The 19,679-nt window shown below is 46.6% G+C and overlaps 2 protein-coding genes across 7 annotated transcripts in view, besides 3 other annotated features; one reads left to right on the top strand and one right to left on the bottom strand.

Annotated features, from left to right (window-relative positions):
* COPA (coat protein complex I subunit alpha) overlaps positions 1–2,054 on the bottom strand; it is a 54,657-nt gene extending 52,603 nt beyond the window's left edge. For both annotated transcript variants that reach the window (NM_004371.4, NM_001098398.2), the window contains exon 1: positions 1,935–2,054. In NM_004371.4, coding sequence (NP_004362.2) covers positions 1,935–1,974 — 40 coding nt within the window. In that variant the 5' untranslated portion in view covers positions 1,975–2,054. The remainder of the gene's footprint in view (positions 1–1,934) is intronic.
* Positions 1,987–2,934: an enhancer, noted in NCBI's record as "H3K27ac hESC enhancer chr1:160312973-160313920 (GRCh37/hg19 assembly coordinates)". NCBI's record gives its function as "activates a minimal SCP1, AML or CMV promoter by ChIP-STARR-seq in primed H9 embryonic stem cells {active_cell/tissue: H9 hESC(primed)}" and the evidence as "EXISTENCE:reporter gene assay evidence [ECO:0000049][PMID:30033119]".
* On the top strand, positions 2,187–17,753 carry NCSTN (nicastrin). Of its 5 annotated transcripts, NM_001290184.2 has the most exons (18): positions 2,187–2,285; positions 3,280–3,418; positions 3,526–3,630; positions 7,803–7,926; positions 8,353–8,474; positions 8,909–9,054; positions 10,026–10,176; positions 10,500–10,609; positions 10,858–11,010; positions 11,691–11,795; positions 11,964–12,041; positions 12,922–13,094; positions 14,459–14,561; positions 14,667–14,762; positions 15,064–15,151; positions 15,404–15,558; positions 15,845–16,057; positions 16,953–17,753. In NM_001290184.2, exons 2-18 carry the CDS (start codon positions 3,394–3,396, stop codon positions 17,073–17,075), a joined length of 2,070 nt encoding a protein of 689 aa, NP_001277113.1. In that variant the 5' UTR covers positions 2,187–2,285; positions 3,280–3,393; the 3' UTR covers positions 17,076–17,753. The 5 variants fall into 5 exon arrangements, with proteins under 5 accessions (NP_001277113.1, NP_056146.1, NP_001336658.1 ...); NM_015331.3 differs by lacking the exon at positions 3,280–3,418; NM_001349729.2 differs by lacking the exons at positions 3,280–3,418; positions 15,845–16,057.
* Positions 2,207–2,256: an enhancer, noted in NCBI's record as "active region_1919". NCBI's record gives its function as "activates an Ori minimal core promoter by ATAC-STARR-seq in GM12878 lymphoblastoid cells {active_cell/tissue: GM12878}" and the evidence as "EXISTENCE:reporter gene assay evidence [ECO:0000049][PMID:35858748]".
* Positions 5,622–5,671: an enhancer, noted in NCBI's record as "active region_1920". NCBI's record gives its function as "activates an Ori minimal core promoter by ATAC-STARR-seq in GM12878 lymphoblastoid cells {active_cell/tissue: GM12878}" and the evidence as "EXISTENCE:reporter gene assay evidence [ECO:0000049][PMID:35858748]".

Below are 19,679 nucleotides of genomic sequence, written 5' to 3' on the forward strand. Positions count from 1 at the left end.
ACTAACAGTTTGAAGTGTATCCTTTCAGATTTTTAATGCAGTTACACATAGACATAGGCTTTAGTATTTTATGAAAGTGGGGATCACGTTATGATGTTGTTCTGCAAACTTCTTCCTCACTTAACTATATAATATGGATCTCATGGAAGTACATATAAACATAACCTCATTCTTTTTAACTACAAGGGACAAATGTACTACACTTATATTATTCTAACAGGCATTTTGTCCGCCAATTTTTGGCTATCAGAAGAGCCTACTGAAGATACTTCTACACATAATCTAGCCTATTTGCATTATTACTGCCCTAGGCTAAAGACCTGTGAGATTGCTCAGGAATAGAATATGTGCACTTAACATTTTAGTACATATAGTTTAAATGTAAAAACACTGTATCAATATACAGTCTCATGAAGTTTATGGAGGTGCCCATTTTGCACACAGGCTGCTATCAGCTATTTGTTGTTTTGTTTTATAAATCTAAGACCCTCCCCCCAAAAAAGTAACTTAACTTTTTTTTTCTTGCATTTCTTTCATTACTAGTGAGGTGGAACTATTTTAATTATTTATTGAACATTTACAATTTTTCTTCTAAATTGTCTATTTTTCCATTAGGTTCTTTTTTTTAATTATGATATATAAGTACACTCAACAATGGATGTTTGCCCTCAAATATTATGACATCTTTGTTTTTCCTTCTGTACTGCCCAGCAAGAAATTAGGAGCAGAAAAGAAAACTGAAAGATTATGAAGACCCATTTCACATTTCACCTATACAGGTCTCAGAAATTCTTAATGGTACCCATCTTTCAAGGTCAAGTTTCCCAAGAGACTTAGAAACTGCTCAGAATATATTCACACATTGATAACAACCTCCAGTTTTTGAGCTACTGAGTCTACACCAGGCGCTGTAATAAATACACTCCATATACTTTCTCATTTTAATACTCTCTATAAAAGACGATTTTACAGATGAGGAAATACAGACTTAGAGACATTAAGTAAGTCATCCAAGTCACAGCTTGTTAGTGGATGTCTCAGGATTCCAAGGCAAGCCCATCTGACTTCAAAGACCAAGTTCCTAACCACTTTGTTACGCTGCATCTCACTAAATATTCTAGATACTATTTTTTCCAGGTCTTCGGAGACCTTACTTCTCTGACTTTCACATTCTAACGTTCTGAGGCTAATACTGCGATCTCAGTATTTGCCCTCCACCCCCAACGACCCACACTCGAGCTCTAGAGCTGCCGTACTTAGCAAATAAAAATACGAGATTTCCAGATAAATTTGAACTTCTGGTAAGCAACGACAGACTAAAAAACTATTCATTGTTTACCTGAAATTCAAATTTAACTGGGTATCCTGCATTTTATCTGGCAACTCTATCAAGTTGAGACTTTATTGGGGTTATAAGCCTCAAGTACTATTTCCGGGTAGTAAATAAAGCCGAATGGAGGCACTGATGTTGAGATGCTGCAGCCAAGGCCTCCTTAAGTGAGGTTGCCACTACTCGTCTCCAAAAAGGCTACTGACTCGGGTGCGAGTAACAGAGATCGAGACTCAGTTCCCAGGGCCACTCCATATAACACAGTCATCAAAAAGCCAACAGATCACAGGGCCTTTGGAGCAGAACAACACAAATCGGGAGCACAGCCAAGAGAGAAAGGGGGAAGAAAGAATAGGGAGGGGGTCTAAGGAATCCCCTGCAGTGTGGGAGCCACTTTATAGGTAAATCGAAGCCCAAGGACACACCAAAGAAGAGGGGACTGGAGAACCGCTAGCCAGGCCCAACCTCTCTCCCACCCTCCGTCTTCCTCCGGGTCCGTCTGGTGGGCCCATTTCGACCAACACCTCTACCCATTTTCTCTTCCCCGGTGTCAGCGCCGCTCCTGACATCCAACCTCCATGTTCCCCCTTTTATTCTCCACTACCTTTGACCCGCGCGCTCTTGGTCTCGAATTTGGTTAACATCTCTCAGGTCTCCGACTCCGATGTCTTAATCCGAGCCCCGACACACCCTGCTGCCCTTCGGACGCCTCCACGTCAGCGACCCTCTCCCGCGGTTTCCGGAAGCGCCTGGAAACACGAACTTCCGGTCTCTTAGGCTCCGGGCCACAGAGACGGTGTCAGTGGTAGCCTAGAGAGGCCGCTAACAGACAGGAGCCGAACGGGGGCTTCCGCTCAGCAGAGAGGCAAGATGGCTACGGCAGGGGGTGGCTCTGGGGCTGACCCGGGAAGTCGGGGTCTCCTTCGCCTTCTGTCTTTCTGCGTCCTACTAGCAGGTGAGGCCTCCCCGCCCGTGAGCTCCGTTCTCTAAGGGGAACTCTCGGATCGGCCCCGCCGCGACCGCCACTGTCTCCCTTCTGGTTCCTGCTGCCCCTCTGTCCCCCCACCCTGTAAATCCTCTTTCTTTTTCGTTCCCACGACAGAAGTTCCCCCTTTGCCTGGACCTGAAGGTCCCTTCTCCCCCGCAGCACGTCGTGTCGCTTCACTCCCTTCTCTAGGCCTCTTCCTGGACTTCGAGCCTGACCCTCTCCCACTTTGTCCAGATGTCTCGTTTTTCCCACAACCCCAGCCACCCACCCCACAGTCGAAAGGAACAGGTGTGAAAGTTAGCTTTCTTCCTCGCGTTTAGACTTTTTGAGACGAAAGCAATCTTGTTCTGTGGGTGCTGTGCGGCGCTTAAAAGGTGGATTTCTTATTTCTTCCTCTGTTGATTACATCCTAAGTCTGTGTCCCCCTGCCTTGCCTCAGGTTTTTTTTTTTTTTTTTTTTTTAATCAGTAAAGCAAGAATAAGGTAGGATATGGGTACTCTTAACTGTGAAGACCCTGAAGTAACAATTCAAGGAACTTTTGGCATTTATAATGTACTTAAGTGTTTGCTGATACGCGTTCATTTACTGATACATGGCTTTTTAGTTGGTCAAGCCCTAAAATGCAAATGCCTGTATATAACTATGACTGTGCCTTCCCCCAATTCACATTGTTTTTAAGGATCCTCAAAGGAGAAACTACAGCTGCCCCACACTGTGGGCACACAAATGACCTGCTGATGTTAAATTAACTGACCCGTGTATGTCATAAGGTTTCTCTCAATTCTGTTCACACTCTTGGAAAAATGCCTCAGAAAGTTTTCTTAGCCCAGCACCTGTGTATTAACCAATTAGTAATATACATACAGGATATACAAGCAGAAGTGTGATCACCTGTGCAACCAGAATCTGGCAAATCTAAGGTCAAACACCTTTCCTTTGACCAAGTTTTCTCTCTTTTAGTGTCACTGTCAATGGCGCTACATGGACTTTGTAATAACCCTTTGAGGCACATAGCTGGGTGCCATGTAGAACATGTATCTGTTACGATAAGTGTGTGCCCAAGAAATCAGAAGAATGGACTTTAATCTCATTTTAGAAAGTATGATATTAAATGATTTACCCAAGCCATACTTCAGGTTAATGACACGATAGAAGCTAGTACCTGTGTCTCTCAAATTTTTCTAACACTTTTTATCTTCCGATCAGGTTTGTGCAGGGGAAACTCAGTGGAGAGGAAGATATATATCCCCTTAAATAAAACAGCTCCCTGTGTTCGCCTGCTCAACGCCACTCATCAGATTGGCTGCCAGTGTGAGTTGAGATGGATTCATGTTTGTGGACATTGATATTTGTCTGTGCCCTAGATACTAAGTAACATCCATGTCCTGCTTAGGAGATTTGACACTTATATTGGACTGTATGTAGGCAGTTACAGATAACCGTCTGTCAAGCTAGGCAAGATAATTAATAAGAACTAACATTTAGTAAATGCTGCATACCAAGCTTTTTACATGTGCATCTCATACAACCCCAACCACAACCCCACAAAATAGGTCTTACTGTTATTGTCACTTTATAAATGATGAAACTAAAACTTAAAGAAGTTGAGTAACTTTCCCAAGATCATACTGGTAATAAGTGATGATGCCAGGATCTGGTGGCCCGAGCACTAAGCTGAGAGACCTTTTTTTTTTGACACGGAGTTTCACTCTTGTCCCCCAGGCTGGAGTGCAATGGCACGATCTCGGCTCACGGTGACCTCTGCCTTCTAGGTTCAAGTGATTCTCCTGCCTCAGCCTCTTGAGTAGCTGGGATTACATGCACCTGCCACCATGCCCAGCTAATTTTTGTATTTTTAGTAGAGATGGTGTTTCACCATGTTGGCCAGGCTGGTCTCGAACTCTTGACCTCAAGTGATCCACCCACCTTGGCCTCCCAAAATGCTGGGATTACAGGCGTGAGCCACCGCACCCAGCCGAGCCAGCACTCTTAACCACCCTATTATACTGTTTTTTAAGGAGAAAAAAGTCTCATATTCTATGGTGTCCAGTTATCACTTGCACTCTGAACTTTTTGGAACCAAAATGGGCTAAAGGCAATGAACTATCTGAAGAGAAGGCACTGAAAATGCCAAATAGGCTGGGCGCAGTGGCACATGCCTGTAATCCCAGCACTTCAGGAGGTCAAGGCGGGTGGATCACTTGAGGTCAGGAGTTTGAGACCAATCTGCCAGCATGGTGAAACCCCCCCATCTCTACTAAAAATACAAAAATTAGCCGGCTGGCTGCTATGGCATGCCTGTAGTCCTAGCTTCTCGGGAGGCGGAAGCAGAAGAATCCCTTGAGCCCAGGAGGCGGAGGTTGCAGTGAGCTGAGATTGTGCCACCATACTCCAGTATAGGTGACAGAGTGAGACACTGTCTGAAAAAAAAAAAAAAAAAAAAAAAGAAAATGCTGAATAATTGCAAGAGGAATTAGTGAAGCATTCTATTTATCCTTTTTTAAAACTTTTTTTCCTTAAATTCAACTGACAGGCCGTTTATTTTCACACTTTGTGTGTTCCAAAAGAAGGTTCCATGACACTGTGGCTTTAAAAACTATCAAAATCATAGGGCAGGAAAAGTAGTAATCTAAAGGCTAACCTGCTGTCTTCAGATTTTGTTTCCCATGGACAATAGCTCTGTCAGAATGTAGTTTTGCAGATAAGCAGGAAACTTGGGGTCTGATACTGGCTTCTTCATCATCAAATTGATCACCTCTGAATTTCAGTTTACCCCTGGAATAATGGTTGGAGTACTTGCATAAAGCTGAAAGTCAAATACCTCTTAATAGTTGTTTATTGATGACGCTAGGTAAATAGGGTGGTCTCAAAAGTGCTGTATAATTTCCTGAAGCCTTCTTCCCATTTGATAAGAGAAAACTGGGACACTGAGAAGTGAAGGACTTGTTCGTGGAAGCAGTTACTACTTTTTTAGCCATCTTTCCCTGAGCTATAGTATCTGTTAATTGTCCCATGTCCCTGCTATACAAAGCACTGGGAGTAGGTTGACTGGTTCCAAACAGCCCCAAATAAAGTTTTTGTTGTACTTAGTTTCTTTTTTTTTTTTTTGAGATGCAGTCTCGCCCTCTCGCCCAGGCTGGAGTGCAATGGCACAATCTCAGCTCACTGCAACTTCCTCCTCCCAGGTTAAAGCAATTCTCCTGTCTCAGCTTCTTGAATAGCTGGGATTACAGGCGCGTGCCACCGTGCCCAGCTAATTTTTTGTATCTTTAGTAGAGGCGGGGCTTCACCATGTTGGCCAGGCTGGTCTCGAACCCCTGACCTCGTGATCTGCCCGCCTTGGCCTCCCAAAGTGCTGGGATTACAGGCATGAGCCACCATGCCCAGCCCTCTGGACTTAGTTTCTGAACTGGTTTGTAGGTAGAAGAGAGCTAGGTCCAGGGTGGGCTGAGATCAGACTGCTGGTCTTGCTGGAACCTCACTATAAAGTACAGAAGGCCAGGACCCCAACCTCTTGTAACTAGGCTCTAAGAAAACTCCTTTGGGAATAAGTCATTCTACTCTATGTTCTTAAAACAGCTCTGTAGGAAGCAAAGCCTCTAGAGGTAAAGCCACGTGCCAGTACAGAGAAACAAGAGGGGGTAAGCGGGACTGTGGCCACTTCCTCATTAAGATCTTGGTTCCTTTTCAACCTACTTATTTCCAAATCTTACTTCGTCATATCTGTCTTTTCTGAGCAGGCTCCGCCCTTTTTAATTAGTGTAGCTAACATGATAAAACTAAGGAGAAAAAAGTGATACCCAGATTTGATTTCTGATTATAATACTCTGCTTCTCTTAGACGCTTTAAAGTTCTCAAAGGGGGCTTTAAATAGGTTTCTTTTCCCTCCCTCCCTCCTTCTATCCTTTCTTCCTTCTTTCGTCTGTCCCCACAGTATGAGATGAATAGAGGTAGAAAACCTCATTGAAGGCGCAGAGAAAATAAGCAAGTTACTTAAGACTACACCATTACTAGTTGGAACCCAGATTAGAATCCAGGTTTTTTTCAGTCCAGTATCATAGTTTGTCTTCCTGTCCTCGCTGGAGTTGAAGTTTTGGGGTGTGTGTGTGTGTGTGTCAGAGTCTCACTATGTCACCCAGGCTGGAGTGCTGTGGCACAATCTCAGCTCACTGCAGCCTCCGCCTCCCAGGTTCAAGCAATTCTCCTGCCTCAGCCTTCTGAGTAGCTAGCATTACAGGTGTGCACCATCACACTTGGCTAATTTTTGTATTTTTAGTAGAGATGGGGTTTCGCCATGTTGGCCAGGCTGGTCTCAAACTCCTGACCTCAAGTGATCCACCCACCCACTTCGGCCTCCCAAAGTACTGGGATTACAGGCATGAGCCACTGTGCCCGGCCGAAGTTATATATGTTTTAGTTGCCACACTATCTGTTCCTTTTCCCATGTTTTAAATGCTGTGGCAAGGGCCGGGCATGGTGGCTCACTCCTGTAACCCTAGCACTTTGGGAGGCTGAGTGGGCATTTAAAGTGATGCTGATATACAGCCAGGGCTGAGAACTACTGGTCTAAAATAATTGATGAATAACATATCCAATTTTCTGTAGGGAGAAGACTCACAGGGAGACCCTAGGATATCTCCACACAGATCACTGGGGACTTAAGGAGTATTACCTAATGCCTTGAATTATGTAGAATTCAAAGTATTCTGGACTCTGGGTCATCCATCCTCTAATACAGTGCTTCCCAATCTTTATCATGTCATGAGACACATAGAAAATGTTATTTGTATAGCATCCTGGCACATAGAGAAATGGGTGATATTTTCAGGGCATCCTGGGGTAAATGATAAGTAGGCTCCTGGCTGGAGGTGACTTTGGAAACCCTAGGTTTCCTGGAATGAGGAGAACCAATGAGAGCACATCTCTGATCCATTCGAGGCTTATCAATTGGGAAGCTCTGTTTTAGAAACCTCAGAGTTCTTGACTAACCTCATCTAAAACCGGCCAGAAGCAAGTAAAGTCATTCCCAAAAAGGGCAAAAGGAATGACGATCCAGGAAAGCTCCTGAGGCCAAGGGCATGTATGCATGTGTTTTTACAAAGGAAGATTCAAAGCTAAAACCCTGAGCTAGAGATTTAGTGGCATTTCCTAGAGAAAATATAGGTTTGAAAACTTTGGTGTCTATTGTTGTAGAATCTTATGTATATGGCTAAATAAGGTTGAGGGCAGAGGGCAAAAAAATGAAGTTCACAGAACCTTTCTGGCATATAATGAGTCCTCTTGTGCTCTTTTATATTCCATTCCCTCCTGATAACCTTCAGATGGAGCTGGGGCAACAGCTTTTCAGTTCAAATCTAGAGGTGCCTGTATTCACCCAAATATGTTGTGACATCTTTAGGGGATAAAAGATACGCAGAATCAGTGAGGCAAAGTCAGAATTGTTAACTATGGGAGCTTTAATTTGACTCATTCTGTCCTGGCAGCTTCAATTAGTGGAGACACAGGGGTTATCCACGTAGTAGAGAAAGAGGAGGACCTACAGTGGGTATTGACTGATGGCCCCAACCCCCCTTACATGGTTCTGCTGGAGAGCAAGCATTTTACCAGGTAAGAACTAGATGTATCTGCTGGGAAAACATCCATAGAGGGAAAGTTTCAGTGAACAGTCCTCACACTTATTAGTGAAAACTTCCCTTGGCTGCCCTGGTCTGGTCAGGGGAGAGGGCAGGGTGGTCCTCAGAAGGAAAGGTGTACCATCAAAAGAAATGATCTTGAGCTTAGGGCTAAATTTCACCTACCTGTCCCTGAGTAACCCTGGGCATCCCTCCCCTCCCTCCCTGGGGTCCTTACTCACTAAAGCTCTACTTTTTAGAGCAGATCATTGTCCAGACTCAGAATTTAGAGACTGAAAGGGAAGAAATAAGTCAACAGTTTGATTCCCCTAGTTCCCCATTTGTTTCCATCCTGCAGGCAGAATGTCAGGCTGTCTGATACCTTCCTGTGTTCCTTCATGGAATTCCTTTCCTATTCCAGGGATTTAATGGAGAAGCTGAAAGGGAGAACCAGCCGAATTGCTGGTCTTGCAGTGTCCTTGACCAAGCCCAGTCCTGCCTCAGGCTTCTCTCCTAGTGTACAGTGCCCAAATGATGGGTTTGGTAAGTGTCCCAAAGGATCAGGAGAGCCTACTGTCACCTAAGGCTCACTGTTGCTTCGGTCTTACGTCTTTGTGAGGGATGTATATGTGTTTGTGTCTGTGTGTAGTGTCAGTAACTGACTCCCAAACAGGGGGTAGTGTTTATTTGTCTTTGCTGCTCATCCCTTCCCTCTCCTGCTTCCCCTTCCTTTGCCTTACCTGGCATTATCTCTTTTTGTCACGTGTTCACATCCCTAATCTTACAGCCTAAGACTCCCTGATACCATTGTCTTTCTATTTTAGTGTGGATGGTAATAGACTTCATGCCTACTTCTTTGAGTCACCACCTCCTTTTGAACTCTTAGTCCCAACTGAAAGATTCTTCTGCCGTCACCTGGTTCCTAAGTACTTGGTGTCCCAGTAACCAGTCCCCCTATTCCCCATCCTTCCCTTCAGGTGTTTACTCCAATTCCTATGGGCCAGAGTTTGCTCACTGCAGAGAAATACAGTGGAATTCGCTGGGCAATGGTTTGGCTTATGAAGACTTTAGTTTCCCCATCTTTCTTCTTGAAGATGAAAATGAAACCAAAGTCATCAAGCAGGTAATGACACTGCCAGCTCCTAGCAATTCCAGTTAGAAAGAAGATTATTTTTCTAGCCAGGTGTGGTGGTGTGTGCACGTAGTCCCAGCCACCCGGGAGGCTGAGACAGGAGGATCACTTGAGGCCGGGAGGCAGAGGTTTCAGTGAGCTGAGATGGCACCATTGCACTCCAGCCTGGGTGACAGAGCAAGGCCCTGTGTCACAAAAAAAAAAAAAAAAAAAGGATTATTTTATAGGCTCTCCTATTTGGAGGGTGGCTCATTCTTCTGGTACACCTGCTGAAAGACGGTTGCTCCAAAAAGAACCAAGACGTTAGTTCTTCTCACATTCTTTCCCCACATTTTGCTCCTACCTGATATTACAGCATTAAAGCCTTTTAGACTAGAAGAAAATATAAAGAATATCTGAAAGAGTAATATGAAACAAGGTACACAGCCCAGGTTAAGAACCACTAGTATCGTTAAAAAAAAAAGCATTGGATTAGAGATTGAGAAATTCAATTTGGTAATTTCTGAGCTTCTTTTTAGCTCTAATATGCCTTAATTCTGGTCTAGTATTTCCATTTTGACTCATAGAGTAGTTAAGAGATTTGTCCAAAGTTGTATGGTGAGTTGATCTCCAAGCTGTGTCATATCTGATTTCCTATCTCTAGTTTGGTGCTCTTTGTATCAGACCACACTGAATCTTTTCAGTGGCTGAAGCTTCAAATTGGGCCAGGCCATCTGGAATGGGATAGTTTCATCTCCAGCTAAACCACTGAGTCTGCAACCCTTTGTAACTCTTGATGAGTTTTTTTCTTTGACCTTATAGATCCTATGGTGGTTCTAGGATAACTATAGCTCAGGGATAAATGTCTCCGAAAAGGGTGTGGCTCCATCCCAAAAGGATGGAACTGGGCCCTCCTCCTTCTGGGATGTAAGGGAGGGCCTCCACAAACTAGCTGTCTCAGTGGGGTCCATCTCCCCTTTCAGTGCTATCAAGATCACAACCTGAGTCAGAATGGCTCAGCACCAACCTTCCCACTATGTGCCATGCAGCTCTTTTCACACATGCATGCTGTCATCAGCACTGCCACCTGCATGCGGCGCAGCTCCATCCAAAGCACCTTCAGCATCAACCCAGGTAGGGCAGATCCGAACCATGAGGGTAATGGAATAAGGGGCAGAGGGAGAGTGGAACCAGGCCAGGGAATGTTAGAGAGACTGTAATAGGGAAGGAGTAGACACCATGAAGGAGCTCTGCATGGGAGAACTAGAAACAATTCTGAAAAATTTAGGCAGCTTGTTCCTAAAGTGGATAGTGGCAGAGAAGCCAACCTCGGACTGTTGGAAGTAGAGAAAACGACTTAGAGTCCGTGGGGCACTGGTCAGAGATTTCCAATGTTGCCTTTATAGCTACCTTCTCCTTTAGCCTTGTTGATCTCTCATTGTTTGTGTCCTGCTTAGAAATCGTCTGTGACCCCCTGTCTGATTACAATGTGTGGAGCATGCTAAAGCCTATAAATACAACTGGGACATTAAAGCCTGACGACAGGGTTGTGGTTGCTGCCACCCGGGTGAGTGTTGGCTTCTGATCAGGATGGGCAGGGCTGGCACAAAAAGAGCTGGTAGGCCCCGCTCTAGCATATCAGATTTCAAAGTTGCTAAATTGGGAAGCCTCAAATGGGGAGGAATCTGGGCTGTGGGACTCCTGGGTTGTCTCCATTGCCACAGGACAGGTATATTCTCTTGACTGGAGCAAGAAAGGAGGTTTGGGGCCAGTTTTAAAGTATATATCCCCTGACTTTTCTTCTGTTGTACCTAGCTGGATAGTCGTTCCTTTTTCTGGAATGTGGCCCCAGGGGCTGAAAGCGCAGTGGCTTCCTTTGTCACCCAGCTGGCTGCTGCTGAAGCTTTGCAAAAGGCACCTGATGTGACCACCCTGCCCCGCAATGTCATGTTTGTCTTCTTTCAAGGGGTAAGGGCTCTTTGGCTGGGGTGCAATGGCAGGGAAGAAAGAGGATAGTAAAGATGAGAGTGGCTACTGGTTGGAGAAGACCTCAGCACTTGACCTAAGTTGTTAACCAGCACAGAGCTTCTGGATGTGTCTACATGTGTCTCCCCTTTAGATTCCTCCATTTTAGGAAGCTTAGATTCCTTCTTTTTAGGAAGCTTTTACACCCTGAATTGGTATGTAACCAGCCCCCTCTTTCCCCCACTGATAAGATATATTGGAGGCGGCCTTTTACTTTTATTCTCTGGACTCCTTTACTGCTATCTCCATCCAGGAGCCGTTAGGCTCCTGACTCTCATCACTAGGACCACAGCAGAATAAGGGAACAGCATCTGTGGCTGAGTCACTGGAGGTGGGGGACCGTTAAGAATCAGACACATAATAGCTGATGTTCATCTTAGACCTTTACTAAGGCTACTTTCCCCATTTCTGGGCTTCAGAAGTCTTGTAATACATATGAGGGATAGTCACAGCTGGGAGGTGGGGCCAAGAGAAGCCGAAAGTCACATGACTGTAAGCTGACTAGCAGTTGAGGTGACCTGAGATAGTCGTCTTACCTACAGCTTTGATGATCTGGCCGCCTTCGAGGCTCTCCTAACCCTTTGGAATCTCTGTTCCCCCTCCCACCTACCTCCATCTCTCAGGAAACTTTTGACTACATTGGCAGCTCGAGGATGGTCTACGATATGGAGAAGGGCAAGTTTCCCGTGCAGTTAGAGAATGTTGACTCATTTGTGGAGCTGGGACAGGTATGTGGCATGTCCCCCAGCCCCTTCCTTTTTAATTAAATCTTCCTCCTTTGTTGTTCTGCGGTCTTAACTGCAGGAACCACCGCCTCTTCCCTTGACTTCTATCCCCTAGGCATGGCCCAGAACAGGAGACTGATTCTAAGTGTTGTTTCTTCATCCTCCCCCCAGGTGGCCTTAAGAACTTCATTAGAGCTTTGGATGCACACAGATCCTGTTTCTCAGAAAAATGAGTCTGTACGGAACCAGGTAACCTGAGCATCTCCCCTCATTTCCTATTCCTACAGCTCAGAATCCAGACCCCAACCCCTGCCCTGTTTCCACCAACCCCCAGGGCCTGTGAGACAGGGTAAGAGACAGGATTGGATTGGGTGTTGGCCAAAGGATGAACACCACAGCTGTTGTTGCTGCTGGGAAGAATCAGGAACTCAGTGACATTCCATTGGTTCCCTGGACTGGGTAGTTCTCTGATCATTTGTTGCCTAGCAGACTACCACTGCCCATTAAGGATAGGTGAGTGACTAGCTCCCTTCTTGCCTTGCTGCCCCATGGATCCAATTGTCAAGGCTGCTCTACCCAAGTCCTGGCTGTGTCACACTCGCTGCCCAACTTGTCCTCCACTTTCCTCATTGCTTGTTCAAAACCTTCCCTTCCCTCTAGGTCCACCTTTAGGCCTGCTTTTTTCCAGGTGGTCCTCTTTCTGCAATTCCAGCCTTCAGCATCATCCCTGCTCTGGACTCCTGTAGCATTTAAAGAATTGGTTATCTGTTTGGCATTCAGCACGCAGTTTTCTATTATTATTTGCTCCCTTCAATTCTGCACAATAAATAATAAGTGAAGCATCCACTGAGGATAAAGCAGAGTCTTGAAGACAGTAGAATTTACTTATAAATATGAAAAAAAAGGTCTCTTCTTTATGCCCCAATTTTCTAACTCTAAAAAGAATGGTGGAAGCTACAGGAAATTCAGAGAGCCTTGGTCCCAAAAGGCTTGAGGGATAAAGGTCTACTAGAGATAGGGTAGCTCCCCAAGCAGGGAACTTGAAGTATAGAGCATTTCAGGCCTAAAAGAGACCTCCTGCTTCCCATCCCCCAGCCTCCCATCAGTTAATCTCCCTCGTACCCCCCAGGTGGAGGATCTCCTGGCCACATTGGAGAAGAGTGGTGCTGGTGTCCCTGCTGTCATCCTCAGGAGGCCAAATCAGTCCCAGCCTCTCCCACCATCTTCCCTGCAGCGATTTCTTCGAGCTCGAAACATCTCTGGCGTTGTTCTGGCTGACCACTCTGGTGCCTTCCATAACAAGTAAGAATCACTTGGCCCTGCACCCTCTTCATTCTTGAAGAGAGTCTATTCTGCAGTCTGGGAGGAAGGTCACTGCCCTCCGCTTTCCCACACTACCCCCTCCAGAACTTCAGGTCCATCTGTATTCTTTGCTCAGTGGCGTTTTCACATCTGAACTGAAACCCTTATTTGTTTGACTGGATATTCATCTTAGAAACTCATCCTCACCCTTAGCCCTTTACTGTCAACAATCCTTGGTTATGGTTCCACTGCTCCCTAGCTCTCCAGGGTCCTGAGTTCCTCAGGGTTGCCAGCAGAGGGCATCATCTCAAACACAAGCATGGGAAGGATGGTGGGGGCCCTTTGGCTAGAAGACAGAAAGCAGTCCTTCTCTGGAACTCACCCAGAGGTGCCAGAAACAGTATTCATACTCTGTGAAATGTACCATGTTCTTGCCATGTGGTAGATGGCCATGGTTCAGTGCGAGGGTAAAAGTGCCTCCTATAGCTGATGGGGCTCCAGAGATACAAAGGGTAACTCTGGGTTACCCTTTAACTGCTCCTAACTTGAGGCCTTGGATAACAGGGGACTTCTTACTCAGGCTGGATTGCCAAGCTTCCCGAGGGCCAAATGAGTTTCGTAGTGAAAATGCTTGAGCTCTATTTCTGACCCCAGCCAAGTAGCACCTTCTCATTCATTTAGGGGAGTGACCGTCCTAGCACTTAGGGTCAGCTGTCTTCTCTAAAGCTATCCTTGTACCACTTTGGGGCAAGTGAAGATTCATCATTTGAACACATTTTGGATTTGATTATGTAGCTGACTTGACTTTGTGTGGGACAGGGATTTACTGATGGTAAAGACTGTGGAGCTCAGCCTCTCTTTTAAGATCTATCTCCTTGGGGCTCCATAAGGATCATCATGGTGATTTTATCAGTGTATTCTTATATATCAGTGAGCAGACCTGATCCTAAGACCTGCTAATCACCTCCTGCTCCCAGCTACCCTAAATATAAATGTTCATTGGAACAGTTATACAACTGATCTCATGATACATGGCAGAGTTCTCTGAAAATCATCTTAGCCATCCCCCATATCTCCAGCCCAAATGATGTAGAAGAGTCTCTCCTTTGTTTAAAGATCTGAGCTCATTCAGCTTTTCTACCTTGTCTGTCAGGAAAGTCTTTAATTTTCACTAACCACCTCACCCTCACTCCTACCTCCCTGTTCTCCACACCTTCTGCAATATGGGATCCTGATTGTCTCTCACCCCTTTCTTCTGATGCTGAAAATGAGATACTGAGTCCCTGCATAAGGAGCATTTGAGGGAGGAAAGGGGCAGAGCCCTGGCTAAATGTAGCCAAGGCTCATGCCGGCTTTCCTGGCAGATATTACCAGAGTATTTACGACACTGCTGAGAACATTAATGTGAGCTATCCCGAATGGCTGAGCCCTGAAGAGGACCTGAACTTTGTAACAGACACTGCCAAGGTAGCACTGAGCCAGGCTGGGTGGGAGCCTGGGGCACACAGTGAAGATGCTAGCATTTGAGGATAGGAGAGGTGGGCCATTCAGCCCCCTCCTCACCTACCACAGGCCCTGGCAGATGTGGCCACGGTGCTGGGACGTGCTCTGTATGAGCTTGCAGGAGGAACCAACTTCAGCGACACAGTTCAGGCTGATCCCCAAACGGTAAGCAGATGGGCCCTAGCTCCTTCTTTCTATTTACACAGCAAGCTGTCCCTATCCTCCCTTGCCCTAGTGTCCCAAACCTTGGAATTCCACATGACTGTTGATGCCGGTGAGAATGCCTCATGCCCCAGAGAGCTCTTGGGTGGGCCTCATCTGCATCTTATGAGCCAGCTACTGTCTCCCAACTCCAGTCTATCTGGCCAGTCTGGTTCCTGCCCCATGACTGGGTCTCCACTGATAATTCTTTCCCTGGGCTCCCTTCAAGTCACAGGGTTTTCTCTCTTTACTGTTCCAATCCTAGGTTACCCGCCTGCTCTATGGGTTCCTGATTAAAGCCAACAACTCATGGTTCCAGTCTATCCTCAGGCAGGACCTAAGGTCCTACTTGGGTAAGCATCTGGTGTGGGAATGGGACCCTTAGCTGAGGAAAGGGATAGAGAAAAAGTCTTTTGGTTTAACCTTTATTATTTTTTTTCTTTTTCCTCTCTGTTTTTCTTACCCCCTGTTTTCCTTTCTTTCTTCTCATATTTGATGGATCCTTTTCCATTGCCCTTCTTTCTGGCTGCTGCCAATCTTGGGCTTTTCCTATTTCACCCACCATCCACCCACCAAATCTTCCCTTCCCTTTGGTCTGCACTCAGGTGACGGGCCTCTTCAACATTACATCGCTGTCTCCAGCCCCACCAACACCACTTATGTTGTACAGTATGCCTTGGCAAATTTGACTGGCACAGTGGTCAACCTCACCCGAGAGCAGTGCCAGGATCCAAGTAAAGTCCCAAGTGAAAACAAGGATGTGAGTGGTGGTGGGTGTTGGAAGTGCCCTGGGGCCCCTTTCCCTTGGGAAAGTTGGAGGTTCTTCTAGACCTAGTTAGACCCAGGGGATTGGGATGGAGAGGTGGAGAGATGCAGTCCTCAGCAATTGGGTGTTGAAAAGCCTGGGTGAAAATGGACCATCTGAAGGGTAAAGGGACAGCAGCCAGTTAGCTCAATTGGTTAGAGCATGGCACTGATAGAGGGTAGAGGGAACGAGTGAGAAGAGGATCACCCTAGCCGTGTGTTGTGGCGCATCTTCTGTGCAGCTGTATGAGTACTCATGGGTCCAGGGCCCTTTGCATTCTAATGAGACGGACCGACTCCCCCGGTGTGTGCGTTCTACTGCACGATTAGCCAGGGCCTTGTCTCCTGCCTTTGAACTGAGTCAGTGGAGCTCTACTGAATACTCTACATGGACTGAGAGCCGCTGGAAAGATATCCGTGCCCGGATATTTCTCATCGCCAGCAAAGAGCTTGAGGTGAGATGGGGCAGGGGCATAGGTGGCAGGGATCTGTTTGACTTCTTTCTCTGCTTTCTTGTGTCATATAGCCCTTTCCATCTCCCATTTGCCCCACATTTGTAGCAAAAGCCTACTGCAAATCTGTCCCTGGTCAGCCAGCATGTTCCCTTAGGAGGCCTTTTTTTTGAGATGGAGTTTCATTCTTGTTGCTCAAGCTGGAGTGCAATGGCACAATCTCAGCTTACTGCAACCTCCGTCCCTTGGGTTTAAGCAGTTCTCCTGCCTCAGCCTTTCGAGTAGCTGGGATTACAGGCATGTGTCACCACACCCAGCTAATTTTTTTTTATTTTTAGTAGAGATGGGTTTCACCATGTTGGTCAGGCTAGTCTTAAACTCCTGACCTCAGGTGATCCACCTTTCTTGGCCTCCCAAAGTGCTGGGATTATAGGCGTGAGCCACTGCACCCGGCCAGGAGGCCTTTCTTCACAGATAGTTTGAGTAGGTGTTCATTCTGGAGAGCCCCTGTGGATCCCAGAACTCTTTCACAGCTTCAACTCCCGGCTGGCATTCCCCATCTGGCACAGCTGGGATGAGTCAGTCTAATGTACCGAGCTCCTGTCACAAGTCAGTAATGTAAGTGCCGCAAGGGAACCAAAGCCATGGGCCCTCCTTTCAAAATGCCTAAAATCTAAGTAATACAAGATGGAAGCAAGAACAGAGATGCTTTACTTCTCTTTTCAAATGGGGAGACAAAGTCTGTAGGCTGGAGAGATGTTGCCCATGATTATTCCATAGTTGGTGCTTAGAGCCAGCATCCGAATTCCCATGGCTCCAAACCCCAAACAGTTATCCAAAAAACTGCACTGAGTTCTGAGAATGCCTTTGTCCTTTCCTGCCCTCCCTCCCCCTGCAGTTGATCACCCTGACAGTGGGCTTCGGCATCCTCATCTTCTCCCTCATCGTCACCTACTGCATCAATGCCAAAGCTGATGTCCTTTTCATTGCTCCCCGGGAGCCAGGAGCTGTGTCATACTGAGGAGGACCCCAGCTTTTCTTGCCAGCTCAGCAGTTCACTTCCTAGAGCATCTGTCCCACTGGGACACAACCACTAATTTGTCACTGGAACCTCCCTGGGCCTGTCTCAGATTGGGATTAACATAAAAGAGTGGAACTATCCAAAAGAGACAGGGAGAAATAAATAAATTGCCTCCCTTCCTCCGCTCCCCTTTCCCATCACCCCTTCCCCATTTCCTCTTCCTTCTCTACTCATGCCAGATTTTGGGATTACAAATAGAAGCTTCTTGCTCCTGTTTAACTCCCTAGTTACCCACCCTAATTTGCCCTTCAGGACCCTTCTACTTTTTCCTTCCTGCCCTGTACCTCTCTCTGCTCCTCACCCCCACCCCTGTACCCAGCCACCTTCCTGACTGGGAAGGACATAAAAGGTTTAATGTCAGGGTCAAACTACATTGAGCCCCTGAGGACAGGGGCATCTCTGGGCTGAGCCTACTGTCTCCTTCCCACTGTCCTTTCTCCAGGCCCTCAGATGGCACATTAGGGTGGGCGTGCTGCGGGTGGGTATCCCACCTCCAGCCCACAGTGCTCAGTTGTACTTTTTATTAAGCTGTAATATCTATTTTTGTTTTTGTCTTTTTCCTTTATTCTTTTTGTAAATATATATATAATGAGTTTCATTAAAATAGATTATCCCACACGACTTGTACTGCTAGTTATTCTTCCCAGGCCACCTTGTTCAGCGAGCCTAGACTGGAAGTCATGAAGTTATCTTTTATGCTATCATCTTGGGCTCCAGAGGACCCAAGGAGTAAGGCTCTGTCAAAAACAGTTGAAGTCCTTTCAAATTGCAGAGCCCTGGTTCTCCTCTTGTAAGAACAATGTTAACATAGTTTCTTCTCACTTTGTAATGAACGGGCATTTTTTTTTTTTTTTTTTTTTTTTTTTTTTTTTGAGATGGAGTCTTGCTCTGTCACCCAGGCTGGAGTGCAGTGGCGCGATCTCGGCTCACTGCAAGCTCCACCTCCCGGGTTCACGCCATTCTCTTGCCTCAGCTTCCCAAGTAGCTGGGACTACAGGCACCCACCACCACGCCCAGCTAATTTTTTTTGTATTTTTAGTAGAGACGGAGTTTCACCATGTTAGCCAGGATGGTCGTGACCTCCTGACCTTGTGATCCACCCACCTCGACCTCCCAAAGTGCTGGGATTACAGGCGTGAGCCACCGCGCCCGGCCATGAACAGGCATTTCTTTATTCACTCTGAGACACTGGCTGGGGTACAGAGATGAAGAGAATATAACCCTAACCCTCGAGTAGCTCAGCTGGGATGAGAAGAGAGACAGACATTCTCACAACTACATGTAATCCAGTGTAATAAAAGGAATAATTGCAGCATATCCCAAGTGCTCTGGTAGCACATAGTGAAACTCAGGACCATGTCAGGGGTGACATTCAAGTGATGATTTAAAGCGTTCACCAGTTGTGGAAGCACAGAGTCAAGAAAAGGAGTGAGTCATGTTTGGGAGATGGTAAGTTCAGTGTGTCTGAGCCATAAGCATCAGCAGGAGGCGAGGTTGGGCTAAATCCCGAAGTTCTTGGCTGGCATGCTGCTAAGGAGTTTGGGTTTCTGTTAATGGTGGGCCTTTTGTAGGCCAAAACAAGTTTGGACTGTTTTAGAAAAAGAACATCACCTCTGTAGAGATCCTCAAATTCCCTGGGTCTTCACGGAGGCAAAATTCTGGAGTATAGCAGCACTGCTAAATAATCGTGGGCAGCGGCTGAGTCAGCCAAGGGGGAAAGAGAACCTGCAGGAGCAGAAGCCTAAACCCAGCCTTCACTCCACTGCTGGCCAGGAGGCTGCTTCTGACACGTGCCTGAATACTCGCAGCAATGGAAAGGGACTGGCTGGCAGTATTCACAGGGTCTCAAGCACTCCTCTTAGTTCCCTGATTGGACTACTTACCTTTTCAAATCCTGCTGAGAAGAGGTGATTTTTCTCCAGGTTTCTCTCCAAGTTCCCCTGGGGGGAAGGGAGACATGTTTGGAGTTCAAGAGATGAAATACACCCTGCTACTTCTCCCCCACCCCAACCCTCCCAGTTTGAGCTGGAGAGGCTGTGTGATGCTGGCGGAAGTCGAGCACAGCTGCCACCATCGACTGGGCCAGGCTCCACACCTCCCTCGGCCAACAGGTCTCCCAGCGGACAGAGCAGTAAACTCCCTCATCCTGCTGGCAGCTTCAGGAAGCAGAGAAGTGGCTGGGTACCAGTGAGGGGGCTGAACAGGGAAACACGGTTGGGCGGAATCGTGATCAAGGGGTAAGTAAGAAGTTACAAGATGTAGGACTGTCACTACTTCAATGTCCTCTGCCTAGGGAAGCATCCTGAACACAAGCTTGTCTGCTGCCTTCCATGTTCCCTTACCTTCCACCTCCTAAAAAACCAGCTTAGCTTTTTCCATGGCTCATGGAGAGGCCAGGCCCCATAGAAGGAGCACAGCCATCCAGATGACCCACTGGGCTCTCACCCTCCCTTTCTGAGACCATGGTTCTGGCTTCTTACCAGGTATCTCCTATGCCCTGAAGACCATGTGTGACTGGCTGGAAGCATCTAATGGGCCATGTAC

This window comes from Homo sapiens, chromosome 1, assembly GCF_000001405.40.
Source record: "Homo sapiens chromosome 1, GRCh38.p14 Primary Assembly".
Lineage (NCBI taxonomy): Eukaryota > Metazoa > Chordata > Mammalia > Primates > Hominidae > Homo > Homo sapiens.

Bases quoted from the DNA above. Each gene is read 5' to 3' on its own strand.
- NCSTN (NM_015331.3), top strand. From the start codon at position 2,201: ATGGCTACGGCAGGGGGTGGCTCTGGGGCTGACCCGGGAAGTCGGGGT. The intron at 15,152-15,403 runs GTAAGCATCTGG...GTCTGCACTCAG, and splicing joins GGACCTAAGGTCCTACTTGG to GTGACGGGCCTCTTCAACAT. The intron at 16,058-16,952 runs GTGAGATGGGGC...CTCCCCCTGCAG, and splicing joins TCGCCAGCAAAGAGCTTGAG to TTGATCACCCTGACAGTGGG.